Source organism: Homo sapiens, chromosome 10 (assembly GCF_000001405.40).
Source record: "Homo sapiens chromosome 10, GRCh38.p14 Primary Assembly".
Lineage (NCBI taxonomy): Eukaryota > Metazoa > Chordata > Mammalia > Primates > Hominidae > Homo > Homo sapiens.
This window is the reverse complement of record NC_000010.11, coordinates 126,461,624-126,487,632: the sequence shown is the minus strand read 5'-3', so window position 1 is coordinate 126,487,632 and position 26,009 is coordinate 126,461,624. Positions and strand designations below refer to the sequence as shown.

Below are 26,009 nucleotides of genomic sequence, written 5' to 3'. Positions count from 1 at the left end.
GAGAAAGTGGAAATCCTAAAAACATCTTTGTTTTACTGTTTTCTTAAAAGAAAACTTTACAAGGTGCTAGTCTCTGTACCTTGTAACATAGACTAACATACTAAGGTATGTTGACAATTATTTTCTGTTAGGTCCTTTGAAAATATCCTAGTGTCTTTGGCTTCCACTATTGCTATGGAGAAGGCAGCTATATGTCTAACTATTATACCTTCATACCTCTTCTGGCTGTTTTTGAGATCTTCCCTTTGTGCTTAGTGTTATGCTTCATTACAATGTATTTAAAGTGGATTTCTTTTTGGTTCTTTTAATGATGTGTTATCCTTAGTGAATCTGATGGATTTTGTCTTTATTCCTTCTGGAAATTTTGCAGCCATTTATTTCCCCTCCTTTATTTCCTCTATTATCTCCTTCAGAATTCTGATTAGGTGTGTTTTATACTATGTCGTTCTTTTGTTCTTTCTTTCTTTTTTTTTTTTTTTTTTTTTTTTTTGACAGAGTTTTACTGTTGTTGCCCAGGCTGGAGTATAATGGCACATCTTGGCTCACTGCAACCTCTACCTCCCAGGTTCAAGTGATCCTCCTGCCTCAGCCTCCCAAGTAGCTGGGATTACAGGCACCTGCCACCACACCCAGCTACTTTTTTTGTATTTTTAGTAGAGATGGGGTTTCACTATGTTGGCCAGGCTGGTCCAGAACTCTTGACCTCAGGTGATCCACCCCCCTTGGCCTCCCAAAGTCCTGGGATTACAGCCATGAGCCAGTGCTGCTGGCCTCATTCTATTTTTCTTCCTTCTAACCTGTCTTTCCCATTTTCACAGATTTCCCATTTTCAATTTCTTGACTTTCTATGATGCTTTCATTAAATTTTTTAGATTAATATTCTACTTCACTAATTCTAGTTTCACTTGTATCTAAAGTCATCTGAGTTTTAACTTCAATTAGCACATTTTTTGTTTATAAAAGTGCTTTCTAGCTCTTTTGAAATCACTCTGGTAATCTTTATAGTCTCATGCTCTTCATTCATAAATTAATTATTTTATGCCTTTAAACATATTAGTTTATATCCAGTATTTTTTATTTCTAAGATGAAAATACAGGACATAAACTAATATTTTTATGTATTTTTTATCTGAGGCATATGTGTGTCTGCTTCTGCAGTTTGGTGTCTCTACTGACTTTTGCTTAAGTTGTTTCTTATATTATTAAGATTTCTGGTCCATATATATTGTTACTATGATCCTGAGCTCATGTTTATTGGGACTTTATCTGTGAAAATTTTCTGGGTTGAGAATAAGTTCCTTCAGATGGGATTTCCATGCTTCTCTCAGCTGGGCTTACTTCTTGCTAAATTTCCAGCTTGTGGTTGTCCACAGTAAGCAGGTTGTGTGAACTTTTGGCCCCAAGTCTGAAAGGGGACTAGCTTATGATTATAAATTGAGTCTTTATGCAGGGATTTCCAGTCTGACTTCCTACATTCTCAGGTCCCATGTTTAGTCCCCTGTCCTCTATTTGACATTAAATTCAAAACTATAAGGGACCGAAAATCAGCAGTGGCCCCCAAGGCAGTTGGATTTGTTCTCCAGTTTTCTTCTTGGCCTCCGAAGTATTTCCTTACATTCTTGCCAGCTGAGCCATATATTTTTAAACATGTCTTTATACTTATTTCTAAGGTTTTTTTTTTTTCTTGAGATGGAGTCTTGCTCTGTCCCCCAGGCTGGAGTGCAGTGGCGCGAACTCGCCTCACTGCAAGCTCCGCCTCCCGGGTTCATGCCATTCTCCTGCCTCAGCCTCCTGAGTAGCTGGGACTACAGGTGCCCACCACGACGCCCGGCTAATTTTTTGTATTTTTTTTTTTTAATAGAGATAGGGTTTCACCATGTTAGACAGGATGGCCTCGATCTCCTGACCTCATGATCCGCCCACCTCGGCCTCCCAAAATGCTGGGATTACAGGCTTAAGCCACCACGCCCGGCCATTTCCAAGGTTTTTATTTGCTTCAGAGCACAAGAATTTTTGTGATATCTAGTCTACCAAATGGCAGGAAATAAAAGATTTCCTAAATCTATTTTTCCCACTAGAATGTTAAGTTGGCCATCCATAAAAAAGTTAGGACTTTTTTGCTCTTTTAAAAAAATTAAATTCAAAGATGAGTTTAATCGTCATCATTGCATTGTTAGTTTTTCTATATAAAGATGGTGTGCCTCTTCATTTAATAATGAATTTCATGAAGTCCATTTATACAAGTGGACTTACATGGGATGTCTTAGTCTATTAATGCTGCTATAACACAGTGCCATAGACATGATGGCTTATAAACGACACAAATTTATTATTCACAGTTCTGGAGACTGGAAGTCTGAGATCCAGGTGCCAGCATGGTCGGGTTCTGGTGAAGGCCCACTTCCTATTGTGGACTGTTGAGTTTTTGTCGTGTCCTCACATTGTAGAAAGTGAGCTAGCTAGCTCACTGGCTGCTGCTTATAAAGTCACTAATCCAATTTATGAGGGCTCCACCCATATGACCTAATTACCTCCCAGAACCCTACCTCCTAATAATATCACACTGAGATTAGGGCTTCACCATATGAATTTGGTACGAACATGAACTTCAGTCCATTGTACCATGTCTATTCTTGAAGATTCCTTTTTGCTCACATTGTTAGGCTTTTTCTAATATTGTCACAGTTCTTAATTAAGCCACGAATTAGAGTGACCTGTTTTCCCTGTTATTAAAAGTTATTTTCAAACATACGAAATAACTAATATTCAGATCATATGATGATATGAACTTTTAAACTATATTCCTAATGTTGGGTATTTAGCTTGATTCCTATTTTTTCACCATTATAAATAATTCTTAATATCTGTATGTGTAAAACTTTGACTATACCTATGTTTATGTTCTTAAGCTATATTCCTGGAAGAGGAATTGTTAGGTAAATGATATGAACATTTTTAAGGCTTTGGATTCTATGTTACTAATTGCCTTAAAAAGTATCGTGGTAATGTGCGCTGCCATTAGCAATGTAGGAGAGTTTCTGCCTCCCTCTAGTCTCTCTAGAATTGAGTGTATATATCTCTACACTTTACTAATTTGATAGGTGAAAAATACATTATTTTTGTCTAATATCAACTCACAAATAAAGCAGGACTTTTTCATGTATTGGCCATGTATATTTCCTACTTAAGAAATGGTCTTGGTGTTAGGGTTTTTTTTGGAGTTGTTAGTGTATTAACTCTTTTACATCATTAGGGACCACAGTGGTTAACTTGTACCATTTGAGTCGGTGTATAGGGACCCCTAAATCCTTTTGAACTTGTGCTTTACATTTTTATTATTCTAACTTTTATTTTGTTTTTAGAGAATTGCGGTAGTTGTGACGACTCAAAATAATGATGAATCTAGAGGGAATTGGCGTATTCATGAAGAGAACTGGGATGCAAAAATAACAGAGTTTAAAGTTTTATTAAATATAGAAGGCATATGAATTACTGTGCTTTATGATACAGTGAAGAGAAGGATAACTTTCTTTGCCCCAAGATGCACACAGACAGGAGAGAGAAAGAGAGGAGAGAAGGTCTACCAGCAATGACATTTGCAAAATGAGTCAATGTCAGGCTTATGGAATATCCAAAGCCTCTGTTGAGCCTACAGAGCAAGGTGGGGTCAGGGGGTTGATTTTCAATGAGTGGGATGGGTAAGTGCATCCCAGGGTGGAAGCAACCCACAGCAGACACAGAAATGCACAGTCTTGGAGAATGACAAACAGAACCCATTCTTGGATCACCGTGAACTTGATGGGTGGCAAATAGAATATGGTATTGGAAGTTTAGGACCCAGCATGTGAGGCTATCCACACCAAAGATTTCAGGCCTCACTCTGGGGCCTCTGAAGGGTTGCTAAGAGAGAAGTGACAATACCTGCATCTGGTTGGCATGAAATCTATGCTTATAGAGCTAATGCTGAAGTCTTATTCTGAAGACGCAGTCCTCCTTTTTAAGGATTACCTTATAAGAATACATCTTATGATCTCAAATCACAAACAAAAGGAATGCATGTATTTTCAGACAATGTTGACTAGGCTAAAATATCACCGATCATTTCAAGCTCAGCTCGATGCTTGCAAATGAGCTTTCTGCTTTTCTCCTGAGTATAGATCAAGTCAGCACACAAGGCATGGAGTCTAGGATTAGTAGAGAAAGGATTGAGAGAGGATTTTTCACATGATATAATTGGATGTGAATCCTTAATTACATTATAAAACTTAAAGCACAAAACTTGGAGTCTCTGCAGCTGAGTTGAATTAGTTTCTCAACCAAAAGAAATTAGAGTACAAGTCAAAAGACTAGCAAAGACCAGAATGCCAAGTATGAAACAGTGTATTTCACTTAGGCTCACCTGCGAAGAATGAAATGCTCTTGGTTTGCCTTTGGCAAGTCCTTTTCTGTTCCTGCCTGGTTCAGAATCTGCTGGCCACAGGCTATCAACCTGGTGAGCTGTTTGTCTTTTATAAAGATTCATTTGTTAACAATTTCATGGAGATATAATTCACACACTATAACTGTCATGCACTGTGTTATTTTAGCCAGCAATATATTCTAGAAGGCAATTTTCTTTAGAAATGCATTGAATATCTGGGTGTTGTGTATTATTCAGCAAGAGTACCTAATGTCCCAAATGCAGATAACTTAAAATTAAGGGTCCCCCAAGCCTAACTCCTTAACTCCTTGTTCCTTAACTCCTTTTCCAGCAGAGAAATTTTCCCAAAACTTGGATTCTTTTTTCCTGCAAGGAAATGCACACTCCTCTTCTAACCTCAGAGAAAGCCTGATCATCTTGTTTTCCCTAATGACACACCAGAGCTTGGTGTCTGGTCTGCATGGCCTGGGAAGCTGATCTGCTGCTTCCTTCCTGAAAATTGCCCTCATGTGGCTGAGCTGGTGGTCATGTCAGAAATGGAAAATGTGTAATTTTAATCCAGGGAAAAGTCATAAGGGCTACTACTAGCTAGTTAGGGAGTAAATGATCTCAGTGACAGTGCAATTGAGCTCTCAGCTTCTCCATTCCCACTCTTCTGCACACCTGGCTTTTGTCTAATTTCCTGCTCACCTGTGCTTCTGTGAAGGCAAGGTGCAGAGAGAGAAGGTGAAGTTGGAATTAGTCAAGTTTGCCATTTAGTTTATACAAGTTTCAGAGTGGAAAAGGGCAGGCCTTGAGGGTCATGTGAAATGGTTCTGATGGAATCTGTACATTTGCATTGTTGCTCATGGCAATTGCTCACTAGGCTATGCTGCACTCAACCCTGCATCCTGCCACCTGTTCCATTCAGCCAAGTAGATTCATAGTATAGGGGCAGAAAAGGAGTGATCCCTTTCCCCTCCCCCTCATAAGAGTCAGGACTGATACCCCTATAACAAAAGAAAGGTTATCAAGACAAAAGCATAGCACATTTATTTAATCCTAGTTTTACATGACACGGGAGTCTTGAAGATGAAGATCCAAAGCTTCATGGAAGCCATCTGATTTTATGCTTAGAATCAGCAAAGTAGAGACAAATGTAGAAATGTGATTGGACAAAAAAAGTATGAGCCAATGGTAATAGACTGGGGAAACCTAGTAAGGACTGTCTGTTCAGACTCGTCTTGGCTTCTCTTTTGTAGCATTTCTTCCTCCTAGGTATGGGGTAAGAACCCCTCTGGAATGAGGGTCTTAATTTCTTTATGGTCAGCTTTTACACAGAAAGGTGGGAAGAAGATTAGAGTCATCATTTTAGGCTTTATGGCTGGTCTTTGGGACAAGGCATTCTGGTTTGTGTGGCCCAACTTGGGGAGGAGGTTTTATGGCTGGTCTTTGGAACAAGGCATTCTAGTTTTTGTGACCTGCCCTGGAGGAGGATGAACGGGGAGAGATAGGAGGGAAGGAGAAAGTCAGAAACTTGGCTTCTTCATTTTAGGGTGGTGTTTTCTGAGCCCCAACGCTGGTACCTGCCAACATGGTGGCCCAGCTAGTGGGAGCCAGGCTTCCAACAACCTCCTGACACAGAGGGAATGGTGCAAGAAAAACAAAGGGCCAGAGAATGCAGAAATGCCTCTGCCATTTGGGATGTGGACTCTGTCTCAAACCAATTTTTCTTTTGGCTGAATGAAATCCGTGAGGAGTCATCAGTTAAATGATGTGAGTCACTTGACATGAGCCATTAGTTAAATGATGATATAAGTCACTTGACAAATGTTTATTGAGTGCCATGTGTCATCTAGGTGTTGGGCACTGCAGTGAGCAAAAGCAAGGTCCTTGCTGACATGGAGCTTGCTATTGCATAGATGCAAATGGACAACAGATAGACACTTCCAAGTGAGATATTTCAATGGTGATAAGAGCTTGTGTAGAGCACTGAAGTCAGATGATGTGATTGGGCTGGCTACTCATTGGCTCCTTTAGATGGGTGGCCAGGGAAGGCTTCTCTGATTGACATTTCAGCCAAGATCTGCAGATGATGGAAGGAGCCTGTCTTGTGACACTGGAGAGGACAAAGGAACAGCTGGCAAAAAGCCTCTGACATGGCACAAGAATGAAGCTGGCACATTCAAGGGATGAGACCAAGACCAGTGGGACTGCAGAGCAGAGGGGCAGAGAGGGGACACCTGGGCTCATGGAGGTGAGCAGAGGCCCGATCACACCAGGAGGAGTTTGCGATTTATTTTAGGTGGGAGGAAAAGCCATCAGAGAGATCTAAGCTGAGCATTACCATAACCTGACCTACATTCTCAAGATCTCGGGTGAAGCAGGAAAGTCAACAAAGCAAGAGAGTCCACCTAGTGAGTGGTACAGGTGGGGATGGAGAGAGTATAGTTGCAGGGATGTTTCAGTTATGCAGAATTAGTGCTTGCATATGGATTCCATGCAGAACATAGGGAAGCAGGGGTTGACTTAATGCCTAGATCTGGAGGTAAAGAATTCATTGAACTAAGGGATGTGATGGTTAAGGTTAGCACAGGTCCTAATCATTAACTGATCATTTTCAAATGCATGTGACAGTGGGCAGGCCGCTGTATGTTCACCAGTCCCTGGGGACAACCTTCATCTCCAGGCAGAGACTGATGTGCCTGAAAGCTCCCAAGCTCTGGGCCAAATGGTACATGGAGGTATAGCCGTGTTTAAACATGCCTGTAAATTCAAGCAATGGGAAAAGTGCCCTGAACCATGAAATGGTCCTACATGGAAAATTAGAATGTTAAAGCCAACAGAAGACTGAGCAAATTTTGCCAAATTAGAAATTACTATATTTACATGAGACAAAGCAGAACAGAGCTTTATTTTCAGTTGCTTTTTAGTGACATTTTGAGTTTGGCCCACAGTGTTACTTGCATTTTGAGTGGTACTAACATTTTATCACACTTTAAACGTTACTGTAAAAGTATGTTTGTGTTTTTAAGTGTGATTTTATTATATCCAAGAGGCACCTTTTTATCTTGGCCATACATAATCACAAGTGAATAATAAAAGTCTTTAGGAAAATAAATTTATCTTTTTAAAAATATTCTTCCCAGTAAAATTTTCTGGAATACAGATCTTTTGAACCAGAATGCAGTACTCCACTAGCCAATAAAAACCTTTCAGTATCCTGGTCATCAAAGAAAAGATGGGATATATTTTTCAAGGGATAAAAAGAGCATTACTTAAACTGTGTCCATGTAAGAAATTGAGCAAGATGTCATGTTATCCCACATCGAAACCAATTTAATGACAAGTAACCAGTCTGCTATTATAATCGAGAAGGAACTGGATGTCTTGGGCAGTGAATCTCTCTGGTTCCTTTTTGTTTATGTTCTTAAAATCCCAAATAGAAACAATACATATGTTTTCCTTCTCTGCATTTTATTTTTAGAAAATCTGGAAAATGAAATGCCTTCAGTTCAGCCACATGACTTCCATTAGCCTTAATGGGAGAAAGGCGTCTTCATGGAGGAAAAGAATAACCCCCATGTGTATAAATAACAGCAGGCCTGTAACCATGGGGAGGCCTTGCTGCCATGCCTGTTGTCAGCTGCGTCCTGGAGGGGGTGGGTCCTGCCCAACTCAGACTCCCATTCAGGATGAGTTGGGATTGAACAATCAGGGCCTCGCAGGAGCTCAGCGCCCAGGAGCACCTTCTCTGGCCCAGCTCCTCGCCCTCCGGATCTGGGATGGGCAGGCTCTGCATGACTTACCAGAAATCCCATGCCATTTGGACTGAGCCCCCTTCTTACTGGATTTTCTTCCCCAACTCCAAAGTGTATACCAGTGTGACCCTAGAGCTTGTCCCATTGACTGGTCTTTTCTGATAAATTTGTGCAATTGTAATTCATTTCAGTTCAACCAGCATGAACCTGAGCCCCAGCTCCATGGGAAGCCCATCAGGAGGACCGCCCACATTGGAATAACGCACAGCCCCTTCCCTCAGTGCTTGCAGACTTGTCATAGAAGGGTCCAGACATTCTTATTCACTGCTTGGCCTTGGACAATTATGTTCTTTTTCTCCTCACACCCTGCGGTACAGCGGGAGTTCAGCACAAATCTCACTATATGCTTCTCAGCCCCATTCCCCACCCTAGTGCAAATTTTGGTGTCCAGATGAATCTGACCAAGGTGTTTAAGGGCATCTTTGAAGGTGAGAAGAGAGAGTATGCTTGTTCCAGCAGGGAAGGGCACAGAGGGGCAGAGGCTGATGTCACCCCCGCTTCATTCCTGTTTTGCATTTAAAGTTCACTGAGCATCTCAGATCTCCTCCAGTTCCTGCAGGCAGCTCCATATCCTTCTCCCCTGTTCCCCAGGGGACACAACACAAGAAAGGAGTTGGCACATTGAAAGGACAAGACCAAGGCCAGGGGTGTTGGACAGCAGAACCTCCTCCCCCAGCACGCTTTGGTTTGTTCCAGTCAAAGGACAGCCCTTAGCTCACCCTCCGAGATGGTCACACCCCTAACTCGCATCAATCTTCATCTGGCCTTCATCCAGTGACTCTGGCAAAAAGGGCAGGAAACAGCCATCTTTGAGCACGGGGGTGAGAGGTGGGTCAAAGATTTAGCAAACGGGCTTCCTGCCTTTCTGTATCATCTTGTGTGTATATATTTTTTCTTAGACTTAAAATAAAGAACAAAGTCTATGTCACTTACAGATCCCCTGTTTAAAGTCGTGCCTTAGCTATGGGCCATCCTAGGGCTGAGTCAATTATAACAAAGGCTCATGTTTGTGCACTGCATTGTTCTTGTCGCATTTTCCAGTGGTCCCATTTCTCCCTCCTGGAGCAGGATGGCGATCAGCCTGTGATGTAGATGAGGAACTTGAGACCAGATGGATGGAGTGACCTGTGCATCGTCACCCACTTAAAGGGTGGCAGAACCAGGTGGGAATAGGTCCCAGTTATTTATTCAAGGATTCCAAGTTATTCCAAGGGCCTGTATTCCAAGTTACTTCCAATGCCTTCTGTCTTTCTCAAATGATGCCATGTCACAAACCAACCATAGGTCCCAGTTATTTATTCCAAGGATCCCAGGTTATTCCAAGGGCCTGTATTCCAAGTTAGTTCCAATGCCTTTCGTCTTTCTCAAACGATGCCATGTCACAAACCAACCACCCTGAGAGATTTTATTCATGCTCTCGCTGGGGGACTCTGCCAGGGGCGTGAGTCAGCAGAGCTGGGCTTGGTGGGATTCTGAGCAGCTGATGACCTATCTCTCCAACAGATTGATGGGAACTACACCATGATCAGATGTACCTGGGTGCTTTAAGAACTACAGCACAGGATTTTACAGATATGTTTATGCCATTTCTGGTGAATCAACAGATGCAGAGATTGTATGTATGGCAGAGCTGCTGAAAAGTGACTCAACTATATAAAAAACTCCTATTCCATGAGGAACTTTTTAAATCTACCACAAATGACCACTTTTAGAAACATTGCATGTTTAGGCTTAGGGAAATGGAGCAAAAACTGTACAAAGAGCTACTAGTACCCCTGGCCCTGCTTCCCTAATGCTAACATGTAAGATGTTAACAATGACCATTCTTTTGTTTTTTTCTTAAAGAAACAAGCAAATGCAACCTAAAGACCAGCTTCCTGAAAACTCACTTTTTAAGGGGATCTGTACTTGCTCTAAAAAAGATTTCTTTGAAAAGTGTCAAGGCAAAACACAAAGGAGTGTGGCAGGTACCACGTAGACCCAGAGGGTGTGAAACGTGGCAGGCCTATCTTCCTAAGAGAAGCTTTGGGAAAATTTGACTGGGGTGTTCTGAGGTTTAAAAGCCCAATGAAAAGAAATCAACTATCTTTTTTTTTTTTCATGTTCTTTAAAAATATTGAATATTCTGACCCAAAAATGGGGAGAAGGTCTGGGGAAAAATTGTGCACATCCCACAGTCATTCCACATAATTCATAGCCAGTGGTGTGAGCTTAAATAAAACAACACTCAGCTGTATTCACTGAGCACTTAAAAATGTCACAAGTTTGCCTTCTCCACATTGCTCCAAAAATCCAAAAAAAAAAAAAAAAAAAAAAAAAAAAAAAAAAAAAAAAAATTAGCCAGGCGTGATGTTGGGCACCTGTAGTCCCAGCTGCTGGGGAGGCTGAGGCAGGAGAATGGCGTGAACCCGGTAGGCGGAGCTTGCAGTGAGCCGAGATCATGCCACTGCACTCCAGCCTGGGCGACAGAGCGAGACTCCCCCTCAAAAAAAAAAAAAAAAAAAGGAAAATGGTGATACATTGATTTTCCAAAAGAAATCCCTCCCTTCTTAGGGTGTAAAGGAAGTGCTTTTCCTAGGTACAAATATTCACGGTAGCTTTCAAGAAGCAGTTAAGCATATTTCTATTTTCTATACCTAAGTGGTCTCAAGGGGCAAAGCCATAAACCAGATATGTTTTGTTTCTTATGAGTTACTCTCAGCGAAGAGAAATAACTCCGGAAGTCCGCGTTAAATGGGAGTGATTAGAAAGCGGAGCATTTGTCTGGTGCCGCAGCACCTGTTTATTGCATTGAGAAATGGTCGTCATTTGGGGAGGGACTCGGCAACAGAAGGATATTAAATGTCTAAGCCTCGCAGTCACAGGAGACGGAGGCAGAGAAAACCAGCTGGGGTCAGTGTCGCCTTCCTTGCATCCTGCCTGCGGCCTGGCCTGCACTGACGCGGGCTCCTTTGGTGGCTTGATTTATTCTTAGTGACTATTTTCATGTGGCATGTGCTTCTCTTCAGAGGCCCTAGGGACTGTCTCCAATTCTGATTGTCAAAAATAGTTCTTCAAAGGGCGCAGTATTCTTAGAAGGAGATGCACACAGGGCCACGTGTTTCCAGCTGAGAATTTGGGTTGATGTGATTGAGGTTTGCAAAAAGTGTCTGAGAAAACCAGAGAGATGATGTCAGCCGGGCTAGGAAGCGCTTCCAGCGGCCCCAGGAGCGCTGAGAAGTGGAACTCGGGGCCTTTTCCACGGGAATCCTGCAGCCTTGGAATTCACTTCCTTTCCTGACATGGAATCCTCTAAGATATTTATATCTTCCTAAAATGGGGTTTCTAGATCTTGTAATGGAAATGAGGGTCTGACGGGGCTGGAGGGAGGAACAGGACTGACCTGACCGGGAGAGGCAGGAAGTGGAGGTATTTTGTGCGAGGTAAGCCTGTCTGCTTCCTGGCCCCAGCCCACAAAGCACCAAAACCATGGATCCCTTAGTCCTGAAAATACGTTTGGACGTTGAATACGTATCAAAAAAACATATTAGAAAGGGGATTCTGTGATCAGAGCTCTCAACAGTAATATAAAACCTCTGATTTTGTAACTCCTCCTTAGGCCTACTGTTTGGTCATATATATTTCACATTTCAAATTGACTCTTCAATTTTGTTCATTTCCTTCACAACTCAGCATGAAATCAACCCATTTCTGGCTTAAGTCCCATGACCATGAATTAAGGTTAAAGATTTGCTTCTTCCAGCACCTAATGATCTCCATCTTCAACTTAATTAAGTTATTAAGTTTTGCCAAGCATACTCATATGCCCATTTGCTACTCATTTTTATAAAGAGGGGAAAATGTAGTATATGTTCAAATTATTGCCAGGAAACAGCTGTCCAAACAAGAATGACGGCCATGCTAATGATGAAGGCGGCGTCCTGAGCAGGAGGCTGTGGTGAGTCGATGTGCCAATATTCAAAATCGATGCATGGAAGTTGTTGTAGGGGGATATTCTAAAATGTAGGAAAGTCAAGATTAGGAACATCAAGATCTGCTTGTGTGTGGACCATCCTGGGGCTTAAGCCTAAGCATGAAAATAGTTGAGGGATGATTAAGGCCTTAATTTGGTATCCATGAGCCCTCACTCACTGATCTAGCTGGGGCCCTCCCTAGACTGCCTGCAAGTTTTAGTCTCATTCAAGATGTTTTGTGGCTTGCTGCCTTTTGGCTTTCAAAATAGTTCTCTCCACGTCCCTTTGACCAGGCTCATTAGCTCAAAGACTCTCCAGGGCTCTCTCAGCCAGCTCCCACATGTTGGATATATTTGTTTGGTGATTTGGACTGCTCAGCACAGGTGACATTCACTGCTCAGTGCTGGAGTCAGAATTGATTATCTGAAGGATCCCACCTGGTCTGCCCAAATGCAAATCAAAATGATGTCCATTCCTTCTATGGAAGGGCCATTATTCCCCACTGGCCTCACCCCTCGTCCTTAGATCTCTGCGGCTTGCCCTTGGCTTACTTGCTGACAGAGGACAAAGCAAATGAGCCGATGATGTTGGGGGAGGCCTGCAGGCCATCTTGTAAGCCCCATCAGAGTGGAATCCTCACAGGGGAATGGCTGAATTGCAAGTTACGTTCAGATGTGGCTTTGTCAGGCGTTGCCAAAGTTCCCTTGTTTTACAAGCCACATTGAAAATCTTTTTCTTTTAAAAGATAAGTTAAGTCCATTCACATTTATTGATATGACCGATGTTTGGTGTCAACATTATCATAATTTAATAATTATTTTTATTTTTCATACTTGCGATATTTCTTTCCAAGATATGTATTCTTTGCTATATATGCATTTACATCTGTTTATTTGTTTTGGTATTTAAGAAGGTTTGTGTTTTTGTTCTAGCAGATACATTTGTACTTACACTATTTTAAATTTCTGTAGTCCTTTTTCTGAGAGTAGTTGAAGGACAGGAAAGAAGAAAGCCAGGCTGACTGTAGGAGTCCTTAAATTGTTTGTTCTTATTCTTGTTCTCTTTCTGGGAACCTGATGGGATTGCACACCTGCCACCCTGACATTAATGGTTGATGTAATCCTGAGTGAGGTGACTCGTCTAGAGTGGAGACTTGATGGGCCAGCGCGATGATCCATTCCATCCACTCCTTTCAGCACCCGTGGTCATGGAGGCAGATGGAGCCTCCTTGACCTTCCTGAATGACCATGATGGGCAGAGACCCCCGGGCTTGCACAGGCCATGTAACAGGTCCTGCTCCTCAGATGTGGACATGCATGTGAACCACTTGGGAACTGGTTACAATGCAGATTCGGATTCAGTGGCTCTGAGGTGAGGTCTCAGATTCTGTGTGTCTAGCAAGTTCCTGGGCATGATCAATGCTACTGGTTGGTGTACCACATTTTTAGTAGCAAGTCACTGTGCCACCAAAATCTGCTTGCTTTTGTTCTTTGTTTCTTCACTGCAATGAAACCTAACCGTGTGGGTCTCAAAGTATGGTTCCTGGAGCAGTAGCATCAGCATCACTTGGGAACTCAGAAATGAACATTTCTGGGGCTCACTTCTGATATACTAAATTGGAAACCCCAGAGTGGGCCCAGCAATCTAAGTTTTAACAAACATGCCATGTGATTGTGCTCTATGCTACCACGCATCTGTCTACTCTTATACCTTGATAGATCAATTAGGACTTGTGTTTAACTCTGAGTAACTAGATACTCAAAAAGCAGTGGCTTAAAAATGTAAGAGCGTATCTATTGTAAAAAAAAAATAAAAATCCAGAGGTGGGCAGCCTGGGGGAGGGTATGGCTTTGGAACCTGACTCCTTCCTTTCTATTTCCTTTAGGTGTGGCTCTCATTATTATGTTCATAAAGTAGTTGCCAGGACTCCAGCCTTCACATCCACATCCACACTAAATACTGTGTGGACCATCTCCTCTCAAGACCTGTTCAGTTCTCACAAAGGACTTTTTCTACTTATATCTCACTGGCCAGAGCAGTGGCCTACGATGCCAAAATGTTTTTAGCTAGGACCATTGCCATCTTGAACAAAATGGGGGTTTTCTAAGTTAAAACAAAAAACCAAAAATGGATATTGGTTAGGCAACCAGCTGTGCCTGACAACAGAGGTGGTGGGGACTTGAGGGCTCAGTGATTCTGAGTAATAGGCATGAACAGAGTAGCATTCTGTGAGCTGGAAGAGTTAGTGGATGTAGTCAGAGAGTAGGAGCCTTTAATCTACAAACTCAGAGCTGAAGCAGCTGTGGTTGTAGGAATGTGGGGCTGGTGTGGAGATGATGGCCATTGGATGTAGGAGGCATGAGGGCAGGAATTTTGTTTTTTCACTGTTGCATCCCAAGTGCCCTATAACATTTCCTGGCACATAGTAGTTACTCAATAAATAGTTAAATTGAAGAGAAGTCAAAAAATTTATTTGAGGGAGCAGGAGAAACCCACAAAAAAACTTTGTTTCCTCCTTCCCTGGAATGCTAAAGGCTCAGTACCCTCAGATGAGGGTAGTAGGTTAAAAGTCTGACATGGAAGCCACCTCCCTTCTTCACTCATGCACATGCACACACGCAGACACACACACACACATGCATGCTTGCGTGCACGTACATGTCCAGTAATTCTGGGGTGACCATCTGGTCCTGAGCAGACATTTCACTCTGTGGGGACCTTGGTCAACATTCCTCTATGCTGTTCCCTTCAACGCCTGGAAGATTACCTTGATTTTTTTTTCTTCCAATTTTTAACATGCAGCATTGCCTGCTTGGTAATTGTCAGAGTACCCAGGAAAGCAAGAATGGGAGGAGACATGAAAGCCTGCTGAAACTGCTAGGCGCCAGGAAAGGAGAACCATCAACAGCAAGGAGCCCACCACCCAAGTCCACTCCCAAACAGGCATGTCTCGATGAACCTGTGCTGTTATGTGTCAGTGGGTATGAGTATGAGAGAGGGTGACCCACTTGAGTTACAAGCTGTATCCAAAGTGGAAATGAAAGAAATGAAGGAAAAAGCTCATATATTAATGTACTAGAAATATGTCGTAGCTCCCAGAGACAAATACCGTGAGCATTTTGGGGAGTGTCAGATTGTCAGTATTTTAATTTTTAATACTTTTCTATAGGTCAGGTTTTCTTTACAGTGATCATTTATTGCTTTTATACTTTAGAAAAAGATTTTTTAAATGGAAATGTCTTAATGAAAATAATTATTACTTCAAAGGGTCACTTTGGGAAACTTTAGCAGTAAGTTTTAAGAAAAGCTTAAAGTTATGTTTCTGTGTGCTTCCAGAATCTGAGCCATGCTTTGGGGATAAAGGACTGTAGGGTAACTGATATTCTGGGACTCTACTTCCTGAAAGGAAGGTAGAAAGATGTGATCTAATAATTAATTGAAACTTGTTTCTGTTGATCATGTTCGCAATGTAGTCGAAGTAATCTTGTTATTAGGAAATGGGCATGAGTGTGTGCACGTGTGTGTGTGTGTGTTTTATTTCTGCCTTCCAAATAGTTTTGTTACCTTTTAAGACTTCTGTTCATCAACCTGAAAATCTCTAGGTTTATGACATTATTGGAATAATCATAACTAGCTAATAACAGAATAATAATGAATAACTAGAACTGGCTAGTTATCCAGTCCTTTCTATATATTCTTTGTGTGGGTAGATATATATATTCCTACTTTGCAGCAACTACATGTGAGTCTTTACGTCAAATGAGAGTTGCCTGCACAATTGCCCACATGGTACCTTGAAACTTGACACTAGAACAATAACATTGAATATGCTGGGATTTTTTCCTTTTTCTCTGAATACACAGGGTGCTTCTGATCACTGAATTTGCATAATAGTATCCTAACACCCTATTGACATCTTAACTATGTTTCTCCCTTCCTGACCATCTGCCCAAGCTCCCAGAAGAAGGAAGGCTTTTCTCACATATCACTACCACAGTTTACAAGTCAGTCTGATTTCTTGGTCATCAGCCCCTCTGCCCCTGAGGTCTGCAGCTTTAGGGAGAAAAGGTTCTAATGGTTGACGTTTATAGCAGAAGAAATCTGCTTACTGTCTAGAAAGGCATTTGTAGGAAGTCTGGTTTTCTGGCGAGGAAAGGCCCCCTCCATGTCTGCTTCCTCCAGCCCCGCTGTTGCCTCTTCATCCCTGCGGGTTGATTTTCAGGTTGGCTGTCCTCCTTGGCATTCCCATTCCTTCTCTCTCCTTCCTTTTCCCAGTGGCGCCAGCTCCAGCTCTGCTTTTGCTGTGGATCATCTTTGTGGGTAACGCAGCTCACTGCTTCCATCCTCTCTGCCGGGAGCTGTTTATCCCATTTGCTATCCGCCTCCTCCTACCTTTTTTGACTCCCTTCCTGGGCTGCAATGCCACTACATAGAAATTGAACAGAAATGTGCTGAAACAATTATCAGTTGATTTTAAACAGAAGTCTGGATGCGGTGAAATACAGAGATACCAAATGGAGACCCAATCCCACGTGAGGAAATAGAGTTTTAACCTGCAGACAAAAGTTGAAGCCTTAACCAGAAAAAAAAGCAGAGAAAATATCTACCAGTCTTGTCCATCTAATAGGCTTGTTCTGTTCTGTTTTCTTTTCTTTTCTTCTCTCTCTTTCTTTTCTTTTTCTTCTTCCTTTCTGTATTTTTTTTTTTTTTGAGACAGAGTCTCGTTCTGTCACCCAGGCTGGAGTGAAGTGGTGCCATCATGGCTCACTGCAGCCTCGAACTACTGGGCTCAAGTGATCCTCCCATCTCAGCCTCTAGAGTAGCTTGGACCACAGGCACATACCACCATGCTTGGCTAGTTTGTTTGTTTGTTTGTTTGTTTTTTAGTTTTTAGTAGAGTTAGGGTCTTACTATATTGCCCAGGCTGGGCTTGAACTCCTGCACTCAAGCAATCCTCCAGCCTCAGCCTCCCAACATGCTGGGATTACATGTGTGAGACACCATGCTCAACCTCTTGTTTTTTAAAAGGCCACAAATTAACTTGACTTTCTTTTATTTCATCTTCCACATATTGTAATTGGAGGTGGTTTTGGGTTTTCTCTCTCCTTTGAAAGGAAAAGAATAAAGCAAACAACACTTGCTTGAAAAGCTGTGCGATTGGAGTACCCATTGTTACTGCCTCTTCCTTCCTCTTTCATGGCCTCCATGTCCATGGATTAGCATGCATCATGCAGAAGAATGCCTTCCCTCCTCCTCTGCAGCATGCAACATGCAGAAAAATGCCTTCTCTCCCTCTGCAGCATGCAACCTACAGAAGAATGCCTTTTCCTCCACTGCAGGACACAACATGCAGAAGAGTGCCTTCCCCCCTGCAGTATGCAACATGCAGAAGAACACCTTCCCTCCTTCTCTGCAGCATGCATCCTGCAGAAGAATGCCTTTCCCTCCACTGCAGGACACAACATGCAGAAGAATGCCTTCCCTGCCTCCGCAGCATGCAACGTATTTATTGCATGCAGAAGAACACCTTCCTTCCCCTCTGCAGCAGCCTCTCGCTTGCCAAAAGGAGACAGCAAAGGAGAGTCCTCAACTCACCTGCAGGCGCCCATGCAGAGTGGGTGTTCAACAGACACCCAAGCCTGCCAATCTCTCTTAACTGGTTTCCAGTTAGATGCTGTAGTTATAGAGCTTGCTGGAAGAGAACCCAGGTGAGAGGAAGAGGTGAGACACTACATATAAAATGCAGACCCGAGAGCTTTGCAAAGGTGTTGAGGGCAGAAGGCAGTCTGGGGCTGTTTAGGTTCATGGCAAAGAGCATTAGGGCTTTTAGGAGATGCTGAGGGCCACCCTGCAGCTGAGTTGAGAAATTGATGTTTATGTTGATGGCCCAGAGACAATGACACAAGCTTGGGTTACTGGAACTCTTAAGACACAGTTGGTTGTAAGATGGCCCAGATTCTGCAGGGAGAAAACGTCACCGCCCAGAACATCAGCATGTGGAGGAAATGTGTGGTTTACACTCAGGGAGGCCTGCTTTGTTCAGAGAGGTCTTTTTGGTTGAGTGGTTGGTTGAAGTCTGTTTTAAGAGGGCAGGAGGCTACACAGAGCTGTGACCCAAAACCTCAGAGACAATCTTTCCCTTCCTGAGTGAATGAATGTTCTAAAGAGCTAAGTTTCATCTTCAATACCAGAATGCCTTTAACACAATTTAAACTAATCTGGATATAAATGATTCTAATGTGAGTTCTGTATGTCATTTACCTACCTTGGCTATTAAAATTCCCTGGGCAGCTGTACCCTCCCGGCTCGTGTGTCTGCTTTTCATAGTTTTCTTACTCTTCCTTTGAGATGTGACTGACAGTCTTGCTGTTGTACTGGTTTCTCTCCTTAGCAACCACTCATGCTTTCTGATTTTCTACTGTGCCAAAATTGCCACAGTTATGAGACTGTGTGCATGTAGGGGGCCACTGGCTCAACAGGGGCTCATATAAGAACATCGAAGATTTGTACATTTGGAGAGATAATAAAGTATCTTTTTTCTATCAGATTGGCTTGTGGTGACATTTTCTGGCCAATGGAGGTAAAATGTCTTGAAAGAGACCCATCTTTTTCTCATATTGTCCTAAGGACCTGCATGGGCTGGTGGTGTCCCCACCTAGCCCAGATGCATGCCTCTTCTCGGCTGTTCTTGATGATGTGTCATTGAGGTCCTTGAAATTCCGCCACCCCCAGTCCCTGCCCTGCATGGGTTTCCACAGGGCTCACATTTCACTGCAGAATGTCCTGCTTCAACTTATCCCTAAGGCCTGCAGTTGAACTTGGTGAGGTCAGGAACAGAAAATCCAGACCAGCCCACTCCCCTGGTGCTACTCCTGCCTGCCAGCATGCCCGGACACATGCCAGCCCTGCCTGATGCCAACCGTGATCAGTCCCTGGTGTCCAGAACTCATTCATCCCTTGCTACTTTCTTCCCCAGAATCAGGTCCCATAAACTCACATGAAAGCTATGGCCCAGCCAACCTGCTGAAGCCTCCTCTGGAAGCTTTTATCTAACAGATACAATGATGTCCTTACCTTAAAATAGCTAGCTTTTGGCCAGGCGCGGCGGCTCACGCCTGTAATCCTAGCACTTTAGGAGGCCAAGGCAGGCAGATCACGGGGTCAAGAGATCAAGACCATCCTGGCCAACATGGTAAAACCTCGTCTCCACTAAAAATACAAAAATTAGCTGGGCGTGGTGGTGGGCATCTGTAATCCCAGCTACTCAGGAGGCTGAGGCAAGAGAATTGCTTGAACCCGGAAGGCGGAGGTTGCAGTGAGCCAAGATAGTGCCACTCCAACATGGTGACAGAACGAGACTCTGTCAAAAAAAAAAAAAAAGCTAGCTTTGTGCTTGCTAGTCAGAATTTTGATATAAAAACATATTGGTTAAGGGTACCTACATAGGTGGGAAAATTAAGAGACAAAAAGAATGTGGAGTAACCCACAGTTGAGGTGAGTGGTCCTGTCTCGTAGAATGTGGGTGGGTGCCATCCAAGAGTAGCTCAGATGTCTGAAGCCCAGGAAATATTCCAATTCTTAATCTAGGAGGTAACTTTGTGGGTGCTCTGTTTAATATCTTTACATTGTAAATATAATGGATTTTGCAATAACAGAAGGAATTTACAACTGTTGGGCAGAATATTTTGGTTGGTTTTTTTCACTTCCTGCTGCATAGCTTAATTCTGGGATAATCAAGTTTGTGAGATTATTGCGCTACGGCATGTCAACCAATGTGGGAAAAGGGGATATGGGGAATGTTTCTGTTTAAAGGACATTCATGATGGCCTAGCCCTCTCCATGTGTCAGACTCAGGACGGGGGCTTTAAGCGCCCGTCCAGTGAATGGAAATGCCCGGGATAAGTGGCTTCATTGGCAGGCTGCTCTCGAGATGGCCAGATCCTGCAGTGACTGTGGGTCCTCAGTGGGGTGATGCAGTTTAGCATGTTGGGCATGAACTGAGAACTCTCAGCCCACTCGGTCCCACTCGCACGTGGAGTGCATGGGAGGAGAAGAGCACACATGCCGCCTTGTCCTGCGAGGGCCCACCTGAGGGTGACTGCACAGCTGACGATTGTACGTTTCAGAATGCATGAAATGAGACCTGATCAATCAGTAGTCAGAAAAGTCCTTCTTTGGCTGCATATTTCTTTTCTCCAGTACACTAAGCACCTTCTATTTTCTCTGAGTTGCTTTAACTCTTCCAAGTCACAGCCTGAACATCTGACTTACACAAGCTCATTCACATAAAAATTTACAATAAACCAGAGATAGATAGATAGATGATAGATAGATTAAAATATTGGCCAGCTGATCTCTGTAAATCTATAAATAAATACATTAATTTAAAAAATCATACTCCAGGATGGATCCATATCACCTGGCAGATTGAGACTGCATCACTGATAACTAATTTGGTTTTTGATTCTGTCAGAGAGCTTTAATAAAAGAAAGTGATGTATGACTATTGTCAGACTTTTCCTGTCTGTAATATTTTGTACTTAAACAGAACCAATGTTTTGAAATAAAAGTTTGGAAACATATTTTCTGTACAATTTAGCAAAGCCAACTTTATAATAGGTAGTCAAACGTCTCCAAATGACAAAGGCTGATAACAGTTTCTTTCTTTTTGGTACTTTCTATGTATCCAACACTGGGGCCTGCAGGTACTTTGGACCTACATTTTGTTTATTTGTGCATAAGAACATGGAAAGCTGGGTTTCTTCCCCTCTTGGTGAATAAGAAAATTGATGGCTCTCAGGTGGCCTCACCTGTGCTGGATCCCATGTCCAGGAAGGTGCTTTGGGGGCCCTCTAGCCCCAGACTTTTTGCTCTTCCCTCTGTACTACACAGCCTGGCCCCACCCCACACAGCCTGCTTCCACTGGCTGGAGCAGGGGGCACTCCAGGACAGAGGGTGTGGAACAAATTGCAGACTTCTGAGAAATTGATGAGAGGGGTTGGTAGTCATGAGCTCAATTCCTTTTTATATGTAAGACATTTGAGAAAATACAGCAAGAATATTCTTTTGTGTGTGTGTGTGTGTGTGTTTGTGTGTGTGTGTGTGTTTTTAGTAGAGACGGGATTTCACCGTGTTAGCCAGGATGGTCTCGATCTCCTGACCTCGTGATCCACCCGCCTCGGCCTCCCAAGCAAGAATATTCTTATAACTTTTGTTATTCCAGGGATTCCCAATGTGTTTTTTTCTGTCCCAACACACAGGAAGGCTAGGACGCATTCCCACTGGCAGCAATGGTGGGGCCATTTCTCTTGGGTGGCATCAGCATGGGGGGTTGAAAACATGGTGCAGTCCCTCCCTTACTTAAAAAGAGTAGCTCTTTAAAAAACGTATAGGGCATTCCAAAATAAAAGAGGTTTAAAAAAATCAAGAGTACAAAATGGATGGTGAAAAGAAAGCCTGTCTTCCACTCCCAATTCCTAGTGTTACATTGCCCTCTCCTGAGACAACAGTCTCCCACATCTTCTCTGTCCTTTGAGAGATTTCTGAGTCTAAAAGCATTTACTGGGGAAGCACACTGTCCTGCATTTTGCTTTGCTCATTAGATAATGTATCTTACAGATTAACCCACATCCACACAAGAGCATCTGCCTCATTCTTTTTAACCATTGCAGAGCATGAATGTACCATAATTTATTTAATTAGTCCCCTATCAATGGACATAGGGTGGTTCCCAGGCTTTTGATAGTACAACATGGAAACAAGTGACATGTTGTACACGTCTTTAAACCCACTGCTTTATTAGAGCTATGCACGTTGACCCGATAAATTGTTTCCTATCTCTGTATTCGCCATAGTACGTAACTCAGCACCAATGCTTCTGCAATAGTAATCATAATGAACATTTATTCAAGCTGACTGTGCATCAGGTACTGTGCTAACCACTCTACATAAATTACTATTTCATGATAACATTACCTCAATTTTCATATTTGAGATTTATATAATAATATAGATATGTTGTTATATACAATATAATCATATAAATTATATAAAAGATATAATTTGTTATAGAAATAAACTGATTACAGAAACCTAAATAATATAATAATAAATAATTTAATATTAGTCCATTATATTATTGCCTTACCTCAATTTTATAGGTGAGGCTGGAAAGTTTAAATGTAGCAGAGGTGGGATTTGAACTCAAGTACTCTGGCCCCAGAATCAAGGTGCTAACTCACTCTATTGCTCACTGCAGATAATGTAATATGAGCTCCTAAGGACACCACCAAGCACAGTCTCTTTCAAGCCCAATCCAAGACAGCACTGTATACAGATGGCCCTCCTAACTGAACTTGCAGTGCTGTACTCCCCCCCAAGTCTGTCCCGAGAAAAGCACCATGTGCGGTAGAAGTCAGTACATTAGATTGGATTCATAAGAGATTTTGAGCACAACTCTCGTTTTATTTTTAGTACACACAAAAGTATTTTCTGGAAGCAGCAAGAGGCAACAAGGAGAAGTATGTATGACTGTGTCTGCTCCTCCAGTGGAACAGAAGCCCACTAGACATTTCCTTCCCATTGGGGATAGCTCTCCAAGCGATGACTGTCTGTCTAGAGACCTTTCTGAGCCCACAGAGAGACGACATCAAAGCTTCCTGAAACCCAGAATCCTTTTTCCTGGGTTTCTTTGCCCCTTACAAGATGTATGTGCATCTCTGCAGGAAGACAATGGTGTTCAGATAGAAAGCAAGTTCCCCAAAGGTAAGGAGCGAGGGTGGTGGGTGACATCATTTGGTCTTGACATTCGATAAAAATTTGTTGATTGCCTACCTGGACCTCGTGCATACTGTCACCGTTCACCTGATGAAACCTCCCCTTCTCCAACTGGGAGAGCAGAGAGGGGACAAATGGTTGCCAAGTAGGAAGCTCCCAAGCACCCAGGAGGCAGCCCTATGTGGGTCGGGGATTTTCAAGACCACTGTGGGCAAGGCCAGTACTCCCTTGAGGCTGAGAGAAGACCACACCCAGGTGCACAGCAGATTCTCAGGCTCAGCTAAGGAAGGTTGGAGATGCAGGTGTGTGTGGCTGCTCTGAAGGCAGCAGGTCCTCTGGGTTGACTGTGGCCCTGTGACTAACTAGCAGGGATATAATGACTAAGGCACGGGGCTTCCACAGGTCCCCAGCGCTTAACAAGCATGAGACACTGGAACTCACGTGCCCAAAAAGTAGGTCCCAAACTCAGCCTCCCACAGAGGAAGAAACCAAGAATTAGAACACAGTCATCATTTCTCTGGGGATCAAGTTGCTGACCACTACTAAATGGTGCAACAAAGAATGTTATAGAAAGGACACAAGAACACATTGGAAAAACGTCCTGTGGTGCCCGGTTATGTCAGCAGGAAAAATGTACATTTCCTATCATTCTAAAGATGTTCTCAAAGAACTATGGAAAAGGACAGAAAGAAAGATATCAGCTTGGGTTGTAAAATTTAAATTGGTTATGGCAATTATAAAAGTAACAAGTTAATCCCTAGCTTCTCATTCATTAATCGTTTAGAGAAGCATTTATTAAGCACCTACTGTATGCCAGATGCTGTGCTTTATATCCCCTGCCCTCTAGGCTCTCCGTTGGCACAGGAAACGGTCAGCAGCATAGCCGTGTCTGTGTGGTGGGCCATGGGGAAGCCGAGGACGGCCCCTGACACTCAGAGGAGGGACTGTGCAGAGGCATCTTTGCCAAGGAAGTGATTTGAGCAGGAACTTGAAAGTATATTTGACGTTTTCAAATCAGACCTGAGGGCAAAGAGCATTGCAGGCTAAGGGAAAGGCACACATGACGCAAGTGGCTGGGACAGGAGGAACATGGTTGATCTGGGGACCTGCAGAGGGTGGGGCCAGGGCGCAAGGGTTGTGGGGGTGGCAGTGGCTGGCGTGAGTCTGCAGGGGTCACGTGCATCAGGTTGGAAGGCCTTTCTAAACCCACTTAGGAAGTCTGGATTGAAGGCAGAGCCAAGCCTTTGAAGAGGAAGAGACATAATTAGATTTGCTCAAGAGGAAACTACTGCCTCGTGCGCAATGTGGAGGACAGATGGGAGAGGAGCACGGCTGGGGGCTGAGGCCCAGCCGGCAAGGAGAGCGTGGAGTCACTGTGAAGGAGGGGCTGCGGCTGCAGAGACGCTCAGGATCCAGGGATGGGTCTTTGAGCAGTGAAGAGGTGGGAGTGTTAGGGTTGGCCCTTGGGTTTCTGGTTCTGGTGCTGGGGAGAATGGTGGAGAAGGAGGCAGAGAAATTGTGGCTTCCTCCCCTGTGCACAGGGTGAACTAGAAAACATGCTCACAAGAAGACATGGAAACAGTGTGGCAGAAGGCAAGATTAACTCCACAGGACGGGGGTTGGGGCTAGTGTTAGGCCTGAAGGGGCACTGGGAGACGGGGGGTGGGTGGGGCAGAGTAGTCGCTCTTTTCCAGAAGGAACCAGAGCAAATGCTCAGAAAAATGAAAGAGCATGACTGGAAACCTTCTAAGTGGTGTGCTGTTGGTAGAGACTCCAAAGCGACAGCTGCAAGTGGGACGTCTACCATGAACAGCCATGAAAACTCCAGTTGGCTTGGGCTTGTAGGTAATAGGAACTGTGGGTGGATTTTGAGCAGAGGTTGGACAGCTGGCCCAGGAGAGGGAGGACCCAGGCATAAATGGTGAGTTGTAGTTGTTGTAGTCGTTGTAATCATGGAGATGCATCCCACGGACAGGTGAGCCTCCAGAAGGCCACCTCTCCACTCCCCAGAGAATGAGCTCCTTTTGGGCACCTGGTGCTGTGGAGAGATGCAGAGTGGGTATGATATGGTCCAGCCCTCGACGGAGTCATAGGCTTGTGGGGTGAAAGTATGATCTTCCAACCCCACCTGGTGATGGATGCTGCTGAATGAGTGATGTGTGTTCCCTGCAGTGACGTAGCAGAGGCAGGGATGGGTCGTGCCTTGGGAAGGGGAGGGAGACTTTTGGAAGGTTTGGACTCAGCCTGGAGGGTGGGAGTCCACTGGGCAGAGGAATCAAAGGGGCTTTATGGAGATAGGCAAGCATGTGGGTGAGGAGTGAGGGAGAGGCTGCCATGCATTTTCAGAACTGGGGTGGTTTCAGGGTGCTGTGTTGAGGGGAAGGTGCAGTGAGGCAAGTAGTGGGGCTCATATGGGAGGGGTGAGCTAAGGACAGAGTGAAGGACATTGTGTTGCTTGCTGAGTCCAGTAAGTGCCCAGTGAATACTCATTAATCCCCAATCCATCAGAAACTGTCTTGCCTGAGATGCTGTTGGATCCATTCATTTCCTGACCTTTTCCACAAGGGAAAGTCAAAATGGCCCCAGGAAGAGCCCCAAACCAGCCTTGAAAGCGAAGTCATCCCAATTACTTATGCAAAGCCAGTGGTCGTCTCCAGCAAGTGCAGGGGAGGGCTCTATAATTGAATACCAGCGCCCTGTCCTTATATCATCAGTGTAGTAAGTGCTGGGTAGATTAATACACTGTCCCAAAACAACCGAACTGTGATAATTGGACAGGACACACTTAATATGAAGCACTGAATAGAAAAGTTTCTTTTCATTTTGAGCAAAGCCATCCTAACCATCAGAAGCCTACGGAATACCTCCCTGGCATAATTAGCTGGTCCTGAAGTCTGGCTGAATGCAAACGCTCTTCCTTGTGACCAGGGCGGCCGGGGGCTCTGTGATGAGGCATGATCTTGTCAGCTTAACGAGGCCCATTAATAGTCCACTGGCGTTTCTATTTTCAAAATTGTCTTCTGTGTCTAATGGTATTGAGGAGCCACGTGAAAATCACTT

At 43.6% G+C, this 26,009-nt stretch overlaps 1 protein-coding gene across 15 annotated transcripts in view; it reads left to right on the top strand.

The window, feature by feature from the left end:
- Nucleotides 1-26,009, top strand: part of C10orf90 (chromosome 10 open reading frame 90) — a 245,697-nt gene that overhangs the window by 183,061 nt on the left and 36,627 nt on the right. For 11 of the 15 annotated variants that reach the window (NM_001350921.2, XM_047424560.1, XM_047424556.1 and 8 more), the window contains one exon: nucleotides 22,647-22,937. The exons of 1 other annotated variant lie outside the window; for it this stretch is intronic. In NM_001350921.2, the coding sequence (NP_001337850.1) occupies nucleotides 22,647-22,937 (291 nt within the window). 3 more of the 15 variants (NR_146939.2, XM_047424563.1, XM_047424562.1) reach the window with 3 other exon arrangements.